The following is a 21,189-nucleotide window of genomic DNA, read 5'->3' as shown; positions in this document are numbered from 1 at the left end:
TGGATTACGTTTATTGATTTGCATATGATGAACCAGACTTGCATCTCAGGGATGAAGCCAACTTGATAGTGGTGGATTAGCTATTGATGTGCTGCTGGATTTGGTTTGCCAGTATTTTATTGAGGATTTTCGCATCAGTGTTCATCGGGGATATTGGTCTAAAATTCTCTTTTTTTTATTGTGTCTCTGCCAGGCTTTGGAATCAGGATGATGCTGGCCTCATAAAATGAGTTAGGGAGGATTCCCTGTTTTTCTATTGATTGGACTGGTTTGAGAAGGAATGGTACCAGCTCCTCTTTGTACCCCTGTTAGAATTCGGCTGTGAATCGTCTGGTCCTGGACTTTTTTTTGGTTGGTAGGGTATTAATTATTGCCTCAATTTCAGAGCCTGTTATTGGTCTATTCAGAGATTCAACTTCTCCCTGGTTTAATCTTGGGAGGGTGTATGTGTCCCGGAATTTATTCATTTCTTCTAGATTTTCTAGTTTATTTGCATAGAGGTGTTTATAGTATTCTCTGATGGTGGTTTGTTTTTCTGTTAGATTAGTGGTGATATCCCGTTTATCATTTTTTATTGCATCTGTTTGATTCTTCTCTCTTTTCTTATTTATTAATCTTGCTAGTGGTCTATCAATTTTGTTGATCTTTTCAAAAAACCAGCTCCTGCATTCATTGATTTTTTTGAAGGTTTTTTTGTGTCTCTATCTCCTTCAGTTCTGCTCTGATCTTACTTATTTCTTGCCTTCTGCTAGCTTTTGAATGTGTTTGCTCTTGCATCTCTAGTTCTTTTAATTGTGATGTTAGGGTGTCGATTTTGGATCTTTCCTGCTTTCTCTTGTGGGCATTTAGTGCTATAAATTTCCATCTACATGCTGCTTTAAATGTGTCTCGGAGATTCTGGTACATTGTGTCTTTGTTCTCATTGGTTTCAAAGAACATCTTTATTTCTGCCTTCATTTCCTTATTTACCCAGTAGTCATTCAGGAGCAGGATGTTCAGTTTCCATGTAGTTGAGTGGTTTTGAGTGAGTTTCTTAATCCTGAATTCTAATTTGTTTGCACTGTGGTCTGAGAGACAGTTTGTTGTGATTTCTGTTCTTTTACATTTGCTCAGAAGTGCTTTACTTCCAATTACGTGGTCAATTTTAGAATAAGTGTGATGTGGTGCTGAGAAGAATGTGTGTTCTGTTGATTTGGGATGGAGAGTTCTGTAGACATCTATTAGGTCTGCTTGGTGCAGAGCTGAGTTCAAGTCCTGGATATCCTTGTTAACTTTCTGTCTCGTTGATCCGTCCAGTATTGACAGTGGGGTGTTAAATTCTCCCATTATTGTGTGGGAGTCTAAGTCTCTTTGTAGGTCTCTAAGGATTTGCTTTATGAATCTGGGTGCTCCTGTATTGGGTGCATATATATTTAGGATAGTTAGCTCTTCTTGTTGAAGAAGAGCTTTACCATTCCTTTACCATTACGTAGTGGCCTTCTTTGTCTGTTTTGATCTTTGTTGGTTTAAAGTCTGTTTTATCAGAGACTAGGATTTCAACCTTTGCTTTTTTTTGCTTTCCATTTGCTTAGTAGATCTTCCTCCATCCCTTTATTTTGAGCCTATGTGTGCCTCTACATGTGAGATGGGTCTCCTGAATACAGCACACTGATGGGTCTTGACTCTTTATCCAATTTGCCAGTCTGTGTCTTTTAATTGGAGCATTTAGCCCATTTACATTTAAGGTTAATATTGTTATGTGTGAATTTGATCCTGTCATTATGATGTTAGCTGGTTATTTTGCCCATTAATTGATGCAGTTTCTTTGTAGCATCAATGGTCTTTACACATTGGCACGTTTTTGCAGTGGCTGGTACCGGTTGTTCCTTCCCATGTTGAGTGCTTCCTTCAGGAGCTCTTTTGGGGCAGGCCTGGTGGTGACAAAATGTCTCAGCATTTGCTTGTCTGTGAAGGATTTTATTTCTCCTTCACTTATGAAGCTTAGTTTGGCTGGATATGAAATTCTGGGTTGAAAATTCTTTTCTTTAAGAATGGTGAATATTGTCCCCCACTCTTTTCTGGCTTGTAGGGTTTCTGCCAGGAGATTCCATCCTTTGTGGGTAACCCAACCTTTCTCTATGGTTGTCTTTAACATTTTTTCCTTCATTTCAACCTTGGTGAATCTGACAGTTATGTGTCTTTGGGTTGCTCTTGTTGAGTAGTATCTTTGTGGTATTCTTTGTATTTCCTAAATTTGAATATTGGCCTCCTTGCCAGGTTGGGGAAGTTCTTCTGGATAATATCCTGAAGAGTGTTTTCCAACTTGGTTCCATTCTCCTTCTCACTTTCAGGTACACCAATCAAACGTAGATTTGGTCTTTTCACATAGTCCCATATTTCTTGGAGGCTTTGTTCGTTTCTTTTTACTCTTTTTTCTTTAAGCTTGTCTTTCTGTTTTATTTCATTAATTTGATCTTCAATCACTGATATCCTTTCTTCCACTTGATCGAATCGGCTATTGAAGCTTGTGCCTGCGTCTTGAAGTTCTTGTGCCATGGTTTTCAGCTCCATCAGGTCACTTAAGGTCTTCTCTATACTGTTTATTCTAATTAGCCATTTGTCTAACGTTTTTTCAAGAATTTTAGCTTCCTTGCGATGGGTTAGAACATGCCCCTTTAGCTCGGAGAACTTTGTTATTACTGACCTTCTAAAGCCTACTTCTGTCAATTTGTTACAGTCATTCTCCATCCAGCTTTGTTCCTTTGCTGGCTAGGAGCTGTGATCCTTTGTAGGAGAAGAGGTGATCTGGTTTTTAGAATTTTCAGCTTTTCTGCTCTGGTTCCTCCCCATCTTTGTGGTTTTATCTACCTTTGGTCTTTGATGTTGGTGACCTACAGATGGAGTTTTGGTGTAGATGTCCTTTTTGTTGATGTTGATGCTATTCCTTTCTGTTTGTTAGTTTTCCTTCTAACAGTCAGGTCCCTCAGCTGCAGGTCTGTTGGAGTTTGCTGGAGGTCCACTCCAGACCCTGTTTGCCTGGGTATCACCAGCGGAGGCTGCAGAACAGCAAATATTGCTGCCTGATCCTTCCTCCGGAAGCTTCGTCCCAGAGGAGCACCCACCTGTACAAGGTGTCTTTGGGCTGCTACTGGGAGGTGTCTCCCAGTTAGGTACACGGGGGTCAGGGACCCACTTGAAGAGGCAATCTGTCCATTCTCAGAGCTCAAACGCCATGTTGGGAGAACAACTGTTCTCTTCAGAGCTGTCAGACAGGGACTTGTAAGTCTGCAGAAGTTGTCTGCTGCCTCTTGTTCAGCTATGCCCTGCCCACAGAGGTGGAGTCTATAGAGGCAATAGGCCTTGTTGAGCTGTGGTGGGCTCTGCAGCTTCCCAGCTGCTTTGTTTACCTACTTAAGCTTCAGCAATGGTGGACACCCCTCCCCCAGCCAGGCTGCTGCCTCACAGTTTGATCTCAGATTGCTGCGCTAGCAGTGAGCAAGCTCCGTGGGCATGGGACCTGCTGAACCAGGCATAGGAGAGAATTTCCTTGTCTGCCAGTTGCTAAGACCTTGGGAAAAGTGAAGTATTTGGGTGGGAGTGTCTTGTTTTTCCAGGTACAGTCTGTCATGGCTTCCCTTGGCTAGGAAAGGAAAATCCCCCGGCCCCTTGCGCTTCCTAGGTGAAGCAACTCCCCGCCCTGCTTCGGCTTGCCCTCCATGTGCTACACTGACTGTCCAGCCAGTCCCAGTGAGATGAACCAGGTACCTCAGTTGGAAATGCAGAAATCACATGTCTTCTGCATCAATCACACTGGGGGCTGCAGACTGTAGCTGTTCCTATTCAGCCATCTTGGAACGGAAGATATTTTTTAATTATTTCAATAGTTTTTGGGGATCAAGTGGTGTTTGGTTACATGAATACGTTCTTCAGTGGTGATTTCTGAGACTTTGGTACATCCATCACTTGATCAATGTGCACTCAACCCAGTGTGTAGTCTTTTATTTCTCATCCCCCTCCCACCCTTCCCCCTGAGTCCCCAGAGTCCATTATATCATTCTCCTGCCTTCGTATCCTCATATCTTAGCTCCCACTTATAAGTGAGAACATATGTTGTTTGGTTTTCCATTCCTGAGTTACATCACTTGGAATAATGGTGTCCATCTGCATCCAGGTTGCTGTAAATGCCATTATTTCATTCGTTTTTATGGCTGAAGAGTAGTATTCCATGATGTGTTTGTGTGTGTGTGTGTGCATGTGTGTGTGACGTTTCTTGCCAATTATCCCAGCACCATTTGTTTAGTAGGGTAGTAGGGTGTCCTTTTCTCCATTTTATGTTTTTGTTTGCTTTGTCAAAGTTCAGTTGGCTGTAAATATTTGCCGTATTTCTGGGTTCTCTATTTTGTTCCACTGGTCTGTGTGCCAGTTTTTATACTAGTTCCCTGCGGTTTTGGTAACTATAGTCTTGTAGTATAGTTTGTAGTTGGGTAATGTGATGCCCCCAGATTTGTTCTTTTTGCTTAGTCTTCTTTGGCTATGCAGGCTCTTTTTTTTGTTGTTCCATATGAATTTTAGGATTTTTTTTCTAATTCTGTGAAGAATGATGATGGTATTTTGATGGGAATTGCATTGAATTTATAGATTGCTTTTGGCAGTATGATCATTTTCACAATATTGATTCTATCCATCCGTGAGCATGGGATGTGTTTCCATTTGTTTGTGTCTATGATTTCTTTTAGCAGTGTTTTGTAGTTTTCCTTGTAGAGATCTTTCACTTCCTTGGTTAGGTATATTCCTTTTTTTTTTTTGCAGCTGTTGTTAAAAGGGTCTGAGTTCTTGATTTGATTCTCAGCTTCGTTGCTGTTGGTGTGTAGCAGTGCTACTGATTTTTGTGCATTGATTTTGTATCCTGAAACTTTATTGAATTCATTGATCAGATCTAGGAGTTTTTTAGTGTTGTATTGGTCTACAATCATGTCATCAACAAACAGTGACAGTTTGTCTTCTTTACCGATTTAGATGCCGTTTATTTCTTTCTCTTGTCTGATTGCTCTGGCTAGGACTTCCAGTATTATGTTGAATGGAAATGGTTAAATTGGGCATCCACATCTTGTTCCAATTCTCAGGGGGAATGCTTTCAAGTTTTCCCTGTTCAGTATAATGTTGGCTGTGGGTTTATCATAGAAGGCTTTTATTACCTTAAGATATGTCTGTTCTATGCTGATTTTGCTGAGGGTTTTAATCATAAAGTGATGCTGGATTTTGTCAAATGCTTTTTCAGCATCTATTGAGATGATTATATGATTTTTGTTTTTAATTGTTTTGTTTATGTGGTTATCACATATATCAACTGGTGTATGTTAAACCAACCCTGCATCCCTAGTATGAAACCCACTTGGTCATGGTGTATTATCTTTTTGATATGCTATTGGGTTCAGTTAGTTAGTATTTTGTTGAGGATTTTTGCATGTATCTTAATCAGGGATATTGGTCTGTAGTTTTCTTTTTTTGTTATGTCCTTTTCTGGTTTTGGTATTAGGGGAATACTGGCTTCACAGAATGATTTAGGGAGGATTCCCTGTTTATCTTGGAATACTTTCAGTAGTATTGATACCAATTCTTCTTTGAATGTTTGATAGAATTCAGCTGTGAATCCATCTAGTCCTCAACTTCTTTCGTTGGAATTTTTAAATTACTGTTTCAATCTTACTACTTGTTATTGGTCTTTTTAGAGTTTTTCTTTCTTCCTGGTTTAATCTAGGAGGGTTGTATATTTCCAGGAATTTACCCATCTCCTCTGGGTTTTCTAGTTTGTGTGCATAATGGTGTTCATGGCAGCCTTGAATGATCTCGGTTATAATATCTCCCATTTCATTTCTAATTGAGCTTATTTGGATCTTCTCTCTACTTTTCGTGGTTAATTTCATTAATGGTCTATTGATTTTTGTTTATCTCTTCAAAGAACCAGCTTTTTTTTCATTTATCTTTTTTTGTTGTTGTTTCAGTTTCATTTAGTTCTGCTCTGATCTTTATTTCTTTTCTTCTGCTGGGTTTGGGTTTCATTTGTTCTTGTTTCTCTAGTTCTTTGAGGTGTGAACTTAGATTGTCAATTTGTGCACTTTCCGACTTTTTGATGTAATAGGCATTTAATGCTATGAGCTTTCCTCTTAGCACCATTGTTGCTGTATCCCAGAGGTGTTGATAGGTTGTGTCGCTATTATTGTTCAGTTCAAAGAAATTTTTTCTATCTTGATTTTATTGTTGCCCAAAAGATCATTCAGGAGCAGATTGTTTTAATGTATTTGTATAGTTTTGAGTATTCCTTTTGGAATTAATTTCCAATTTTATTCTACTGTAGTAGAGAGTACTTGATATAATTTCAGTTTGTTTAAATGTATTAGACTTGTTTTTTGGCTTATCGTATGATCTGTCTTGGAGAATGTTCCATATGCTGATGAAAAGAATCTATATTCTTCATTTGTTGGGTAGAATGTTCTGTAAATATCTGTTAAGTCCATTTGTTCTAGGGTGTAGTTTAAGTCCATTGTTTCTTTGTTGCCTTTCCATTTTGATGACCTGTCTAGTGCTGTCAGGAGAGTATTGTATTTCCCCAGTATTATTGTGTTGCCATGTGTCTCATTTCTTCGGTCTAGTAGTAATTGTTTTATAAATTTGGGAGCACCACTGTTAGGTGCATATATATTTAGGATGGTGATATTTTCCTGTTGAACTAGTCCTGTATCATTATATAATGCCCCTCTTTGTCTTTTTAAAGTGCTGATGCTTTAGTTTTGTCTGATAGAAGAATAGCTACGCCACGCCTGCTCACTTTTGGTGTCCATTTGCATGGACTGTCTTTTTCCACCTGTTTACCTTAAGTTTATGTGAGTCCTTATGTGTCAGTTGAATCTCTTGAAGACAACAGATACTTGGTTGGTGAATTCTCATTCATTCTGCCATTCTGTATCTTTTAAGTGGAGCATTTAGGCCATTTATATTCAACATTAGTGTTGAGATGTGAGGTACTATTCTATTCATCAAGCTATTTGTTGACCAAATACCTTGGTTTGTTTTCATTGTGTTATTGTTTTACAGGTCCTGTGAGATGAATGCTTTAAGGAGATTCTATTTTGGTGTATTTCGAGGATTTGTTTCAAGATTTAGAGGTCCTTTTAGCAGTTCTTGTAGTGCTTGCTTGGTATTGGCAAATTCAACATTTGTTTGTCTAAAAAATACTTTATCTCTCCTTCATTTATGAAGCTTAGTTTTGCTGGATACAGAATTATTGGCTGATAATTATTTTGATTAAGGAGGCTAAAGATAGGACCCCAATCCCTTCTGGCTTGCAGGGTTTCTGCTGAGAAATCTGCTGTTAATCTGATAGGTTTTCCTTTATAGGTTACCTGATGCTTTTGCCTCACAGCTTTAAGATTCTTTCCTTTGTCTTGACTTTAGATATCCTGAAAACTATGTGCCTAGGTGATTATCTTTTTGCAAAGAATTTCCTGGGTGTTCTTTGGACTTCTTGTAAGTGGATGTCTAGGTCTCTAGCAAGACCAGGGAAGTTTTCCTCGATTATTCCCTCAAATAAGTTTTCCAAGCTTTTAGAATTCTCTTCTTCCTCAGGAACACCAATTATTTTTATGTTTGGTTGTTTTAACATAATCTCAAATTCCTTTGAGGCTTGTTCATTTTTAAAAATTCTTTTTTGTCGTTTTTGGATTTCATTAATTCGAAAGCCTTGTCTTTGAGCTCTGAAGTCCTTTCTTCTACTTGTTCAATTCTATTGTTGGAACTTTCCAGTGTATTTTGCATTTCTCTAAGTGGGTCTTTTATTTCTAGGTGTTGTGATTGTCTTTTCTTTATGATATCTATTTCTCTGGAGACGTTTTCGTTAATATCCTGTATTTTTTAAAATTTCTTTAAGTTGGTTTTCACCTTTCTCTGGTGCCTCCTTGAATAGCTTAATAATCAACCTTCTGATTCTTTATCTGGCAATTCAGAGATTTCTTGTTGGTTTGGATCTTTTGCCAGAGAGGAGCTAGTGTGATCTTTTGGGGGTGTTATAGAACCTCATTTTGTCATGTTACCAGAATTACTTTTCTGGTTCATTCTCATTTTGTTAGACTGTTTCAGTGGAAAGATCTGGAACTCAGGGGCTGCTGTTCAGATTCTTTTGTCCTACAGGGTGATCCCTTGGTGTGGTGCTAGGGATGGGGCTTCCTGAGAGCCAGACTGCAGTGATTGTTATTGCCCTTCTAAGTCTAGCCACCCATTGGGGTTACCAGGCTCCAGGCTGGTGCTGGGGAATGTCTGCAAAGAGTCCTGTGATGTCATCTGTCTTTAGGTCTCCCCTCTGTGGTTATCAGCACCTGCTCAGGTGGAGGTGGCAGGGGAGTAAATAAGGTGGACTCTGTGGGAGTCCTTGATTTTAGTTTTGTTTGGTGCTGGTTTTCCTGAATGCTGGTTATGCTGGTAGTGAAGTTGTCATGTGGACAGAATCAGGACCTCGGTTTAGCCAGAGTGTTGCAGGTGGTGGAATTAGCTGTTGTTTTCTCCTTTTTTGGAGCAGGGTTATTCTGTTGAGTTACTGTAATGGCTTGACTTGGTTGGCGTCCAGCCAGGAGGTGGCACTTTCAAGAGAGTGCCAGCTGCAGTGGTAGGAGGTGGATATAATCTTGCCCCACATTGGCCAGGATGAGTACTTTGGTTTCTCCGGTTTGGTTGTGGCCATAGAGCTCCCAAGAGCTTTATCTTTTGTCTTTGGCTACCAGGGCAGATAGAGCAAAACCATCGGCAGGGTTAGACTAGTCTGAGCTCCGACTCTCTTTGGGTGGGGGTTTCTGTGGTCACTTTGGGGGATGGTGGGTGGTTCTCAGGCCAATGGAGTTATGTTCCAGGGTGATTATGGCTGCCTCTGCTGCATCATATAGATCACCAGGGAAGTGGAAAAGCCAGCAGTGACAGGCCTCACCCAGCTCCCATAGAGTCAGCAAGGCCAGTCTCACTCCCACCTTGCCCCCACCAACCACACTGAGTTTGTATCCAGACAGCCAGAGAGCAGGGCTAGGGTCTTGCCCTCAGGTACAAGCCTTCACATTGAGAAAACAAGCAGGGCTCTCAGGTCTCTCACCTCCCTGCCTGCCCACCTGCATGGTCAGCTGTGGCTTCTGTGCTTGTATCTGCACTTCCCATTTGCCCCCTACTCCCTGGATTCTGCTTAGGAAAGTTTGTGCTCAGTTGCAATTATTACAGAGTTCAGCTAGGAGCATCCTTCACCCTGTGGCCCTTCCCCCAATTTCACCAGCTGCCTTACCTTCCCTAAGGGACCTCTGTGAAATGAGGTCAGGAATGGCTTCCCTGGGCTCATGCTGGGGACCAGGAGTGCCTACAGGGCTCTTCCAGCTGCTGCTTCTCCTTTTATATTTCACACAGCTCCCTAAATCCATTTCAGCTCTATGTAAGATTAAATTCTTCTCCCATGATCTGGATTTTTGGGTTCCCCAGTGGGGATGTGTGTTCAGAGGCTGACTTTTCCCCCTCTCACACTTCATTGATTCACAGTTTTTTAGCTGTTTTGTGGTGTTTGCAGCAGCAAGCCACTTCTTTTGAAGGCTCTGTGAACTCTTTAGTTTTCCTGTTATGTTCCTGTGGTCATTCTTGGAACAAAAGTTAACAATATGCGTCTCCAGATGCTGTACTGTCTGTCCAAGTGGGAGCTGCACGTTAGTCCTGTCTCCTATTTGCCATTTTCCACCTTCATGTTATTTAACATTTTATTGTGGAGGTGGTGGTGGTGTTGGTTGTATTTTGCAAGATTTTTCCGTTGTTTATTTTGTACATTATCTATTTAAATTTTTCTATTAGATACTAAGATAACCAGAAAGAGAAAGATTTTTGTTTTTTTTAATGACTGTGCTAAACACTTGAAAAACTGGAGCAAATAACTTTTGAAAAATTAAATTAAATTTGACCTAGTGGTACAGTGATAATTATTTTTTATTAGCCATCTCTTTTGTGACAACAGTGAAAGAGATTGATGGAAAGGAGACTCTAGAAGGGAGGAAGAGATACAGAGTAAATACAATTGTTTTCATCTCTTGACTGCTTTACTTTTTATCTATCAGTTCATTTGATCTTGGCTTATACACCCACAAAACTGTATTTCTCTTTAGTATTTAAGCTGCATTTTTATCACTTTCAAGTTATTCTTAAAACAATTTTTAAAAGCTGTTTAATTTTTTTAAAACCCAGCATTTTACCATGCTAAAGTGGTTGTGTAAAGGAAAGGTTGGATAAAGCACCCATCTCTCAGGAGATAGTTAGTGATGAAATGGAAGATTGCTTCTGGATATCATAGTTTGCCAAAGTAAATCTAGACCGAGAAACTAAAACCATTTTCCTTTTCCCTTTTAGAGATGTGGAGAATGCAGTTGTGAAAAATTAAGTTTTAGCATTTGATGGTGTAAGATCAATAATTTGACTTGGAAATCTTCAATAATATTAATAGATTTTATCCATGAGTCACCTGCATCTATCATTTCTTATGCCTTGTCGTAGGGATTCCAGATGTTCCTGTTTCTTGGATGCTGTTTAATTAGGTTTGACTATGGCAAGGGTTAAAATCTCAATGTATTGATGTGCATTTTTATTCAAATTAAATGGCAACAGAGTAAAAAAAAAAAAAAGCCTTAAGTGTGGTTGGAGACTGTCTACTAAACTCTCAATTTTAGTTTTGCTGCTTCTACCAACTTTCTCCACTGATTAAAAGAGGAGCCTATTTTAGCCACCTTAAGGAGAAAAGGGATTTATTTTGTATAATTTACAGAATTGATGAGAAGGATGGAGAAATAAGTTCAAAAAAATAGGAAGGAATTAAAGGCAGCTGAGAATTTGTCTCTGCTCATATACCATAAGGAAAATCTGGTTAGGAAGCCAGTTCCGTTTCTGTGACTGTTGTCTCTGTATCTGCATTTCTTCCTCAAGGTTGAATTTTTTTTTTTTCTGGGGGAACATCCCATAGACAACTGAGATCAGTAGTTCTCTTGTTTCTAGCTTTCAGGAGTCCCTGAGGTCAAAACTGTTTTTTATAATTCTTAGGTTTTATTTGCCCTGTTTACTGTGTTGACATTTGTGCTGATGGTGTAAAAGCATTGGTGGGAAAAAGTGCTGGTGCCTTAGCATGAATCAAGGCAGTGGCATGTCTGTATGCATGTCAACCTAAAAGGAAGAAGCTGAGGCAAAATTAATATAAGTAGAGAGGTTTTTTTGGCTAAGCTCAAGGACTGCAACCTGGGAGCATAGATTCAAATTGTCCTGAACATGCACTTTGATTAGTAGCAGTTAGAAGTAGATTTTTAAGGACAAAAAAAGTTGTTTGTCAGGAATTCTCATTGGTTCACAGAAATAACATTGATTAGTGATTGGCTCTACGTTGTTAAGCTATAAGGTATGGGTTATGGCAAAAAAGTTGTCAGAAATTCTCATTGGTTCACAGAAATAACATTGTTAGTGATTGGCTCTACATTGTTAAGCTATAGGGTGTGGGTTATAATGTCTGGTGGGGCATTATTAGATTTATTTTTAGCTACTTATGGCAATAGCAAGCAATTTCAGAAGATGAATACACAGCTCAAGACGTGGAGTAGGGCATGATTGTGGTCTCATTTTAGTGTCTCTCTTGGTCTGATAATTAAAAGGACTTGCATTCCTCAGATAAAAGTTCTTTCTTTTTTCATCTGTACACACGTGTATGTGTGTGTATATATATATATGAAACTTTTCAATGACAATATTTCTCACATCAAATGTGTGAGTTTTTTCTTCACACCAATCAATTCTCCAGCTCTCCAGATACCACCTGGGTGTCCTACAACCCAGTTCAATTCTAGCAGTAAGTGCATGGAGTTATCAGATCCAGGGTTTAAGGGCTCAATCCCACAAGACTGTCCTCACTTTATTTATTTGTTTCTTTTTATTTTTTATAGACAGGGATCTTGCTATGTTGCCCAGGCTGGACTCAACTCTAGGGACCAAGCAATCCTCCCACCACAGCCTCCTTAGTAGCTGGGACTGCAGGCTCAGGCTGTCTTCACTTTAGGTGCCATTGCTGGGCTGTGCTCTCTTTAGATGCCAGGCACAAGTATTGGGTCCGCAGGTTACCCACACTTCTGTCTGACTTGGCTGCAAATCAAGGTTCTCATCACCCACAACCCCTTCAGGTTCGATAATTCACTAAAATAGCTCACAGACTTCAGTAAGACAATTTATTTATGATTACTGGACTATTATAAAGGATACAACTCAGGAGCAGCCTATAGAAGAGATGTTTAATGCAAGGTATCGGGGGAGGAGGCATGGGGACCTTCCATGGCCTCTCTGGGTGTGCTACCGTCTCAGCACCTTGATGTGTTCACCCACCTGGAAGCTCTCTGAACTGTTCCCCTCCCCTTTTTTAAAAAATAGAGTGGGGTTCTTGCCATGTTGCCCAGGTTGGTCTTGAACTCCTGGGTGTCATGGGTGGTACTGCCTGGGGCCGGCTTTGCAGTTTTTAAAGGGATTTACCAAGACAGTTGTAGGTAAAGAAAGGCAGATTTATTAGCGAAAGTATAAAAATATGCTGCAAGGTTGCAATGGGCAGCACAGCAGAGAAAGGGTTGTCTGCCAAGAGGTGGGGGCTGGAGGGAAATTGTATAGAGTCATGCTGCAAGGGGGCTATCTGCAAGGGGAAAAAGGTCATTGTGCCTGCAGGTTGTTTGTGATTAACCATCTGTCAGAAGAGTTGTTCATTGTTTCCCATCTGGGATCACCCCTTCCTTGTTGTTGCTTACTTATCAGGACTCCACATCTCCCCCACCCCCTCTGACAGAACAGCAGTGACAAATCTTTGGCAATGAGGTGGAGGTCTCATCTTCCAACTGCTGTCTGGCATGCCTAGGGCATGGAGTAGGCCCTACCTATGGTTGTTGGTTTGTCAGGAGACCCTGTGGGTCATTGTCCCAGATTGTGGGACTTAGGATATTGGATCTTTCTGGAGGAAGGCACTCATCAGAGAGGGGAAGCATGTCAAGATGAAACTGGTGACCAGCTGAATCCAGGAGAGATTCGTGAAGGTAGCAGGCATCTTTGGGGAGAGAATGATTCCATTCACAGTATCATTTAAAAGTGAAACTGTTGAATTCTAGAAGATAAAGTTTTGTTTTTTAAAGCCGTTGGCCAAAAAGGGAGACAAACCTCTTGCTTTGTGACTGTTTTTCCTTATTGGAAACCCATTTAGGTAACCTGAAAATTAAACTCAAGGAAAAAGTGTTTGAATTTAATTAGACACAGAAAGTATGTGTTCAGCAGGGGAGTACATGACTCTTAGGAACAGCATAAGTTGTTTTTTTGATTACATTGAGAATTTAGACATATCAAGAAAAGCCAAGGGTCCGAATTAAATTATGTTCGAGGAAAACATTGCTTAAATTTTTTGACTTAAAGTTGAAACATTAAAATATTATGCTAATGTTAACATTAGGCCATAATAACAGTTAGAATTGGAGGAAAATGTGACAGGAGGTGACAAAAACTGGGGAGTGTTATTTTATTAGGCCTTCTTTAGGGGAGAAAAAGCAGAAAGTAGCGGGACACAGCAAAAGTTAAACTGAGATGATTCTGAGAAGTTTTAAAAATAAACGTTACAAAATGAAAAGTAAAACTTGCAGTTTTATTAAGAACAGATTAATACCGTAAGAAAACCTTGTTTTAACATGGGGAGAGGCAATGTTAGAAAGACTATCCTAAATAATTCCCTTTCATTTATAACCAACTTAATCACATACAAAATTCCTTTCCTAAATTTCCCTTTACAAACCTTCTTATGACTTACACAGACTATTTTTGACATGCTTGGACTTTGTGACTTGTCCTAAGCATTCCTCTTTCTTTATTATTATTATTATTATTATTATTATTATTATTATTATACTTTAAGTTTTAGGGTACATGTGCACAATGTGCAGGTTAGTTACATATGTATACATGTGCCATGCTGGTGCGCTGCACCCACTAACTCATCATCTAGCATTAGGTATGTTGCCCAATGCTATCCCTCCCCCCTACCCCCACCCCACAACAGTCCCCAGAGTGTGATGTTCCCCTTCCTGTGTCCATGTGTTCTCATTGTTCAGTTCCCACCTATGAGTGAGAATATGCGGTGTTTGGTTTTTTGTTCTTGCGATAGTTTACTGAGAATGATGATTTCCAATTTCATCCATGTCCCTACAAAGGACATGAACTCATCATTTTTTATGGCTGCATAGTATTCCATGGTGTATATGTGCCACATTTTCTTAATCCAGTCTATCATTGTTGGACATTTGGGTTGGTTCCAAGCCTTTGCTATTGTGGATAATGCCACAATAAACATACGTGTGCATGTGTCTTTATAGCAGCATGATTTATAGTCCTTTGGGTATATACCCAGTAATGGGATGGCTGGGTCAAATGGTATTTCTAGTTCTAGATCCCTGAGGAATCGCCACACTGACTTCCACAATGGTTGAACTAGTTCACAGTCCCACCAACAGTGTAAAAGTGTTCCTATTTCTCCACATCCTCTCCAGCACCTGTTGTTTCCTGACTTTTTAATGATTGCCATTCTGACTGGTGTGAGATGGTATCTCATTGTGGTTTTGATTTGCATTTCTCTGATGGCCAGCGATGGAGAGCATTTTTTCATGTGTTTTTTGGCTGCATTAATGTCTTCTTTTGAGAAGTGTCTGTTCATGTCCTTCGCCCACTTTTTGATGGGGTTGTTTGTTTTTTTCTTGTAAATTTGTTGGAGTTCATTGTAGATTCTGGATATTAGCCCTTTGTCAAATGAGTAGGTTGCGAAAATTTTCTCCCATTCTGTAGGTTGCCTGTTCACTCTGATGGTAGTTTCTTTTGCTGTGCAGAAGCTCTTGAGTTTAATTAGATCCCATTTGTCAATTTTGTCTTTTGTTGCCATTGCTTTTGGTGTTTTAGACATGAAGTCCTTGCCCATGCCTATGTCCTGAATGGTAATGCCTAGGTTTTCTTCTAGGGTTTTTATGGTTTTCAGTCTAATGTTTAAGTCTTTAATCCATCTTGAATTGATTTTTGTATAAGGTGTAAGGAAGGGATCCAGTTTCAGCTTTCTACATATGGCTAGCCAGTTTTCCCAGCACCGTTTATTAAATAGTGAATCATTTCCCCATTTCTTGTTTTTCTCAGGTTTGTCAAAGATCAGATAGTTGTAGATATCCAGCGTTATTTCTGAGAGCTCTATTCGGTTCCATTGATCTATATCTCTGTTTTGGTACCAGTACCATGCTGTTTTGGTTACTGTAGCCTTGTAGTATAGTTTAAAGTCAGGTAATGTGATGCCTCCAGCTTTGTTCTTTTGGCTTAGGATTGACTTGGTGATGCGGGCTCTTTTTTGGTTCCATATGAACTTTAAAGTAGTTTTTTCCAATTCTGTGAAGAAAGTCATTGGTAGCTTGATGGGGATGGCATTGAATCTATAAATTACCTTGGGCAGTATGGCCATTTTCACGATATTGATTCTTCCTACCCATGAGCATGGAATATTCTACCATTTGTTTGTATCCTCTTTTATTTCATTGAGCAGTGGTTTGTAGTTCTCCTTGAAGAGGTCCTTCACATCCCTTGTAAGTTGGATTCCTAGGTATTTTATTCTCTTTGAAGCAATTGTGAATGGGAGTTCACTCATGATTTGGCTCTCTGTCTGTTGTTGGTGTATAAGAATGCTTGTGATTTTTGTACATTCATTTTGTATCGTGAGACTTTGCTGAAGTTGCTTATCAGCTTAAGCGGATTTTGGGCTGAGACAATGGGGTTTTCTAGGTATACAATCATGTCGTCTGCAAACAGGGACAATTTGACTTCCCCTTTTCCTAATTGAATACCCTTTATTTCCTTCTCCTGCCTAATTGCCCTGGCCAGAACTTCCAACACTATGTTGAATAGGAGTGGTGAGAGAGGGCATCTCTGTCTTGTGCCAGTTTTCAAAGGGAATGCTTCCAGTTTTTGCCATAGATAGCTCTTATTATTTTGAAATATGTCCCATCAATACCTAATTTATTGAGAGTTTTTAGCATGAAGGGTTGTTGAATTTTGTCAAAGGCCTTTTCTGCATCTATTGAAATAATCATGTGGTTTTTGTCTTTGGTTCTGTTTATATGCTGGATTACATTTATTGATTTGTGTATATTGAACCAGCCTTGCATCCCAGGGATGAAGCCCACTTGATCATGGTGGATAAGCTTTTTGATGTGCTGCTGGATTCAGTTTGCCAGTATTTTATTGAGGATTTTTGCATCAATGTTCATCAAGGATATTGGTCTAAAATTCTCTTTTTTGATTTTGTCTCTGCCTGGCTTTGGTATCAGGATGATGCTGGCCTCATAAAATGAGTTAGGGAGGATTCCCTCTTTTTCTATTGATTGGAATAGTTTCAGAAGGAATGGTCCCAGTTCCTCCTTGTACCTCTGGTAGAATTCAGCTGTGAATCCATCTGGTCCTGGACTCTTTTTGGTTGGTAAGCTATTGAATATTGCCACAATTTCAGATCCTGTTATTGGTCTATTCAGAGATTCAACTTCTTCCTGGTTTAGTCTTGGGAGAGTGTATGTGTCGAGGAATTTATCCATTTCTTCTAGATTTTCTAGTTTATTTGCGTAGAGGTGTTTGTAGTATTCTCTGATGGTAGTTTGTATTTCTGTGGGATCGGTGGTGATTTCCCCTTTATCATTTTTTATTGCGTCTATTTGATTCTTCTCTCTTTTTTCTTTATTAGTCTTGCTAGCGCTCTATCAATTTTGTTGATCCTGTCAAAAAACCAGGTCCTGGATTCTTTAATTTTTTGAAGGATTTTTTGTGTCTCTATTTCCTTCAGTTTAACTCCGATTTTAGTTATTTCTTGCCTTCTGCTAGCTTTTGAATGTGTTTGCTCTTGCTTTTCTAGTTCTTTTAATTGTGATGTTAGGGTGTCAATTTTGGATCTTTCCTGCTTTCTCTTGTGGGCATTTAGTGCTATAAATTTCCCTCTACACACTGCTTTGAATGCGTCCCAGAAATTCTGGTATGTTGTGTCTGTGTTCTCGTTGGTTTCAAAGAACATCTTTATTTCTGCCTTCATTTCGTTATGTACCCAGTAGTCATTCAGGAGCAGGTTGTTCAGTTTCCATGTAGTTGAGCGGTTTTGAGTGAGATTCTTAATCCTGAGTTCTAGTTTGATTGCACTGTGGTCTGAGAGATAGTTTGTTATAATTTCTGTTCTTTTACATTTGCTGAGGAGAGCTGTACTTCCAAGTATGTGGTCAATTTTGGAATAGGTGTGGTGTGGTGCTGAAAAAAATGTATATTCTGTTGATTTGGGGTGGAGAGTTCTGCAGATGTCTATTAGGTCCACTTGATGCAGAGCTGAGTTCAATTCCTGGGTATCCTTGTTGGCTTTCTGTGTCATTGATCTGTCTAATGTTGACAGTGGGGTGTTAAAGTCTCCCATTATTAATGTGTGGGAGTCTAAGTCTCTTTGTAGGTCACTCAGTACTTGCTTTATGAATCTGGGTGCTCCTGTATTGGGTGCATATATATTTAGGAACTTAGCTCTTCTTGTTGAATTGATCCCTTTACCATTATGTAATGGCCTTGTCTCTTTTGATCTTTGTTGGTTTAAAGTCTGTTTTGTCAGAGACTAGGATTGCAACCCCTGCCTTTCTTTGTTTTCCATTTGCTTGGTAGATCTTCCTCCATCCTTTTATTTTGAGCCTATGTGTGTCTCTGCATGTGAGGTGGGTTTCCTGAATACAGCACACTGATGGGTCTTGACTCTTTATCCAGTTTGCCATTGTGTGTCTTTTAATTGGAGCATTTAGTCCATTTACATTTAAAGTTAATATTGTTATGTGTGAATTTGATCCTGTCATTATGATGTTAGCTGGTTATTTTGCTCGTTAGTTGATGCAGTTTTTTCCTAGTCTCGATGGTCTTTACAATTTGGCATGATTTTGCAGTGGCTGGTACCGGTTGTTCCTTTCCATGTTTAGCGCTTCCTTCAAGAGCTCTTCTAGGGCAGGCCTGGTGGTGACAAAATCTCTCAGCATTTGCTTGTCTGTAAAGGATTTTATTTCTCCTTCACTTATGAAGCTTAGTTTGGCTGGATATGAAATTCTGGGTTGAAAATTCTTTTCTTTAAGAATGTTGAATATTGGCCCCCACTCTCTTCTGGCTTGTAGAGTTTCTGCAGAGAGATCTGCTGTTAGTCTGATGGGCTTCCCTTTGAGGGTAACCCGACCTTTCTCTCTGGCTGCCCTTAACATTTTTTCCTTCATTTCAACTTTGGTGAATCTGACAATTACGTGTCTTGGGGTTGCTCTTCTCGAAGAGTATCTTTGTGGTGTTCTCTGTATTTCCTGAATGTGAATGTTGGCCTGCCTTGCTAGATTGGGGAAGTTCTCCTGGATAATATCCTGCAGAGTGTTTTCCAACTTGGTTCCATTCTCCCCATCACTTTCAGGTACTCCAGTGAGATGTAGATTTGGTCTTTTCACGTAGTCCCATATTTCTTGGAGGCTTTGCTCATTTGTTTTTATTTTTTTTTCTCTAAATTTCCCTTCTCGCTTCATTTCATTCATTTCATTTTCCATAGCTGATACCCTTTCTTCCAGTTGATTGCATCGGCTCCTGAGGCTTCTTCTTTCTTCACGTAGTTCTCGAGCCTTGGTTTTCAGCTCCATCAGCTCCTTTAAGTACTTCTCTGTATTGGTTATTCTAGTTATACATTCTTCTAAATTTTTTTCAAAGTTTTCAACTTCTTTGCCTTTGGTTTGCATGTCCTCCCGTAGGTACAGAGAAATTTGATCGTCTGAAGCCTTCTTCTCTCAGCTCATCAAAATCATTCTCCGTCCAGCTTTGTTCCGTTGTTGTTGAGGAACTGCGTTCCTTTGGAGGAGGAGAGGCGCTCTGCTTTTCAGAGTTTCCCGTTTTTCTTCTCTGTTTTTTCCCCATCTTTGTGGTTTTATCTACTTTTGGTCTTTGATGATGGTGATGTACAGATGGGTTTTTGGTGTGGATGTCCTTTCTGTTTGTTAGTTTTCCTTCTAACAGACAGGACCCTCAGCTGCAGGTCTGTTGGAGTACCCAGCCGTGTGAGGTGTCAGTCTGCCCCTTCTGGGGGGTGCCTCCCAGTTAGGCTGCTCGGGGGTCAGGGGTCAGGGACCCACTTGAGGAGGCAGTCTGCCCATTCTCAGATCTCTAGCTGCATGCTGGGAGAACCACTGCTGTCTTCAAAGCTGTCAGACAGGGACATTTAAGTCTGCAGAGGTTACTGCTGTCTTTTTGTTTGTCTGTGCTCTGCCCCCAAGATGTGGAGCCTACAGAGGCAAGCAGGCCTCCTTTAGCTGTGGTGGGCTCCACCCAGTTTGAGCTTCCTGGCTGCTTTGTTTACCTAAGCAAGCCTGGGCAATGGCTGGCGCCCCTCTCCCAGCCTCACTGCCACCTTGCAGTTTGATCTCAGACTGCTGTGCTAGCAGTCAGCGAGACTCCGTGGGTGTAGGACCCTCCGAGCCAGGTGCGGGATGTAATCTCCTGGTGCGCCGTTTTTTAAGCCCGTCGGAAAAGCGCAGGATTCGAGTGGGAGTGACCCAATTTTCCAGGTGCCATCTGTCACCCCGTTCTTTGACTAGGAAAGGGAACTCCCTGACCCCTTGCGCTTCCTGCGTGAGGCAATGCCTCGCCCTGCTTCGTTTTGCACATGGTGCGTGCACCCACTGACCTGCGCCCACTGTCTGGCCTTCCCTGGTGAGATGAACCCGGTACCTCAGATGGAAATGCAGAAATCACCCGTATTCTGTGTCGTTCATGCTGGGGGCTGTAGACCGGAGCTGTTCCTATTCGGCCATCTTGGCTCCTCCCACATTCCTCTGTCTTAAACAACCAGTTATTCTATTTTAGGACAAGAATTTACCATACGAGATTTTTTTTCTCATACGAAGTCTTTTTTTTTTTTTAAATAACCTTCCTTTCCCAAAATGCCTTTTTACCTTTATAACCTTCTTCATGTCTCTCTTATTCCCTGGTTCCTTTTAACTTGTTTCATATGTAACCTTTACGTAACCTGTGAATTAGGGAAAAATTATTTTCCTTTTGTTGGGAAGTTAAGGTTTCCGTTTCATTTGCTGTGTGAGTTCTGTGAAGGAGGATCAAATGAGGAGGTAATTTACATACTGTAGAAGTTATCCCCTCTTAAGAGATTGTTCAATTAGCTTTCTTGCTAGGGCTTGTTTGAATAAGTGTGGGCTATATTTTAAACCCCTGAAGTATGACTATCTAAGTTGAAGTTTCTATTTAGTCTGTTTTCACACTGCTATAAAGAAATACCTGAGACTGGGTAATTTGTAAACAAAGGAGGTTTAATTCACTCACAGTTCTGCATGGCTGGGGAGACCTCAGGAAACTTAACAGTCATGGTAGAAGAGGAAGCAGACACCTTCTTCACAGGGTGGCAGGAGAGAGAAGTAAGGAGGGCAGGGGAAACTGCCATTTATGAAACCATTAGATCTCTTGAGAACTCACTATCACAAGAACAGCATGGGGGAACCACCCCCATGATCTAATCACTTCCCTCACTCTACATATGGAGATTACAATTCTCTTCCTCAAAACATGGGGATTGACGATGAGATTTGGGTGGGGACACAGAGTCAAACCATATCCGGTGGCCTGTCCTTCTGCATCAAGAACACTTACTTGGAGAAGTGTCCTTAGGACAATCTAGAATGGGCTGGAGGCTTCTAAAGCAGCCAGCAGTTAAGCCTGTCTCTTGTCCTTGCATTTTTCTTTCTCTGTAGCTCTGTTCCCCTTATTCTGTTCTCAATTACTGAAGAACTTGAAGGCTGTGTCCAGCAATGTTGGGAAAGTAGTTTGTGGTCTCTGATCTGGCTTTTGGAGTTCATGTCTGATGTATGGGGATGCCTGGCTGATAAACAGCTATGACAGTGAGGTCTTCTGGGCTCTGGGGGTTCATATTAGTATATTTTCTCATAGCCTCAGCCAGCTTGGTATAAAATAGGGCTGGGTTTTAATTTGACCCCTGTCTTATTTCCCTTAGTTTGGCATAATTTACAAGTTTTATGTGGCCTTTTTCATGCTCTGAATCAGGCAAGTGATCATGTGATTATGATATTT

At 40.3% G+C, this 21,189-nt stretch overlaps 1 protein-coding gene across 4 annotated transcripts in view, besides 1 other annotated feature; it reads left to right on the top strand.

Moving 5' to 3' along the window:
* The window catches only part of SESTD1 (SEC14 and spectrin domain containing 1), a 163,155-nt gene that overhangs the window by 48,971 nt on the left and 92,995 nt on the right, over positions 1 to 21,189 (top strand). The window lies entirely within an intron of this gene.
* Positions 19,149 to 19,648: an enhancer, noted in NCBI's record as "H3K4me1 hESC enhancer chr2:180060941-180061440 (GRCh37/hg19 assembly coordinates)". NCBI's record gives its function as "activates a minimal SCP1, AML or CMV promoter by ChIP-STARR-seq in naive H9 embryonic stem cells {active_cell/tissue: H9 hESC(naive)}" and the evidence as "EXISTENCE:reporter gene assay evidence [ECO:0000049][PMID:30033119]".

This window comes from Homo sapiens, chromosome 2 (genome assembly GCF_000001405.40).
Source record: "Homo sapiens chromosome 2, GRCh38.p14 Primary Assembly".
Lineage (NCBI taxonomy): Eukaryota > Metazoa > Chordata > Mammalia > Primates > Hominidae > Homo > Homo sapiens.
The sequence above is the reverse complement of the archived record's forward strand: the minus strand, read 5'-3'. Positions and strand labels throughout refer to the sequence as shown.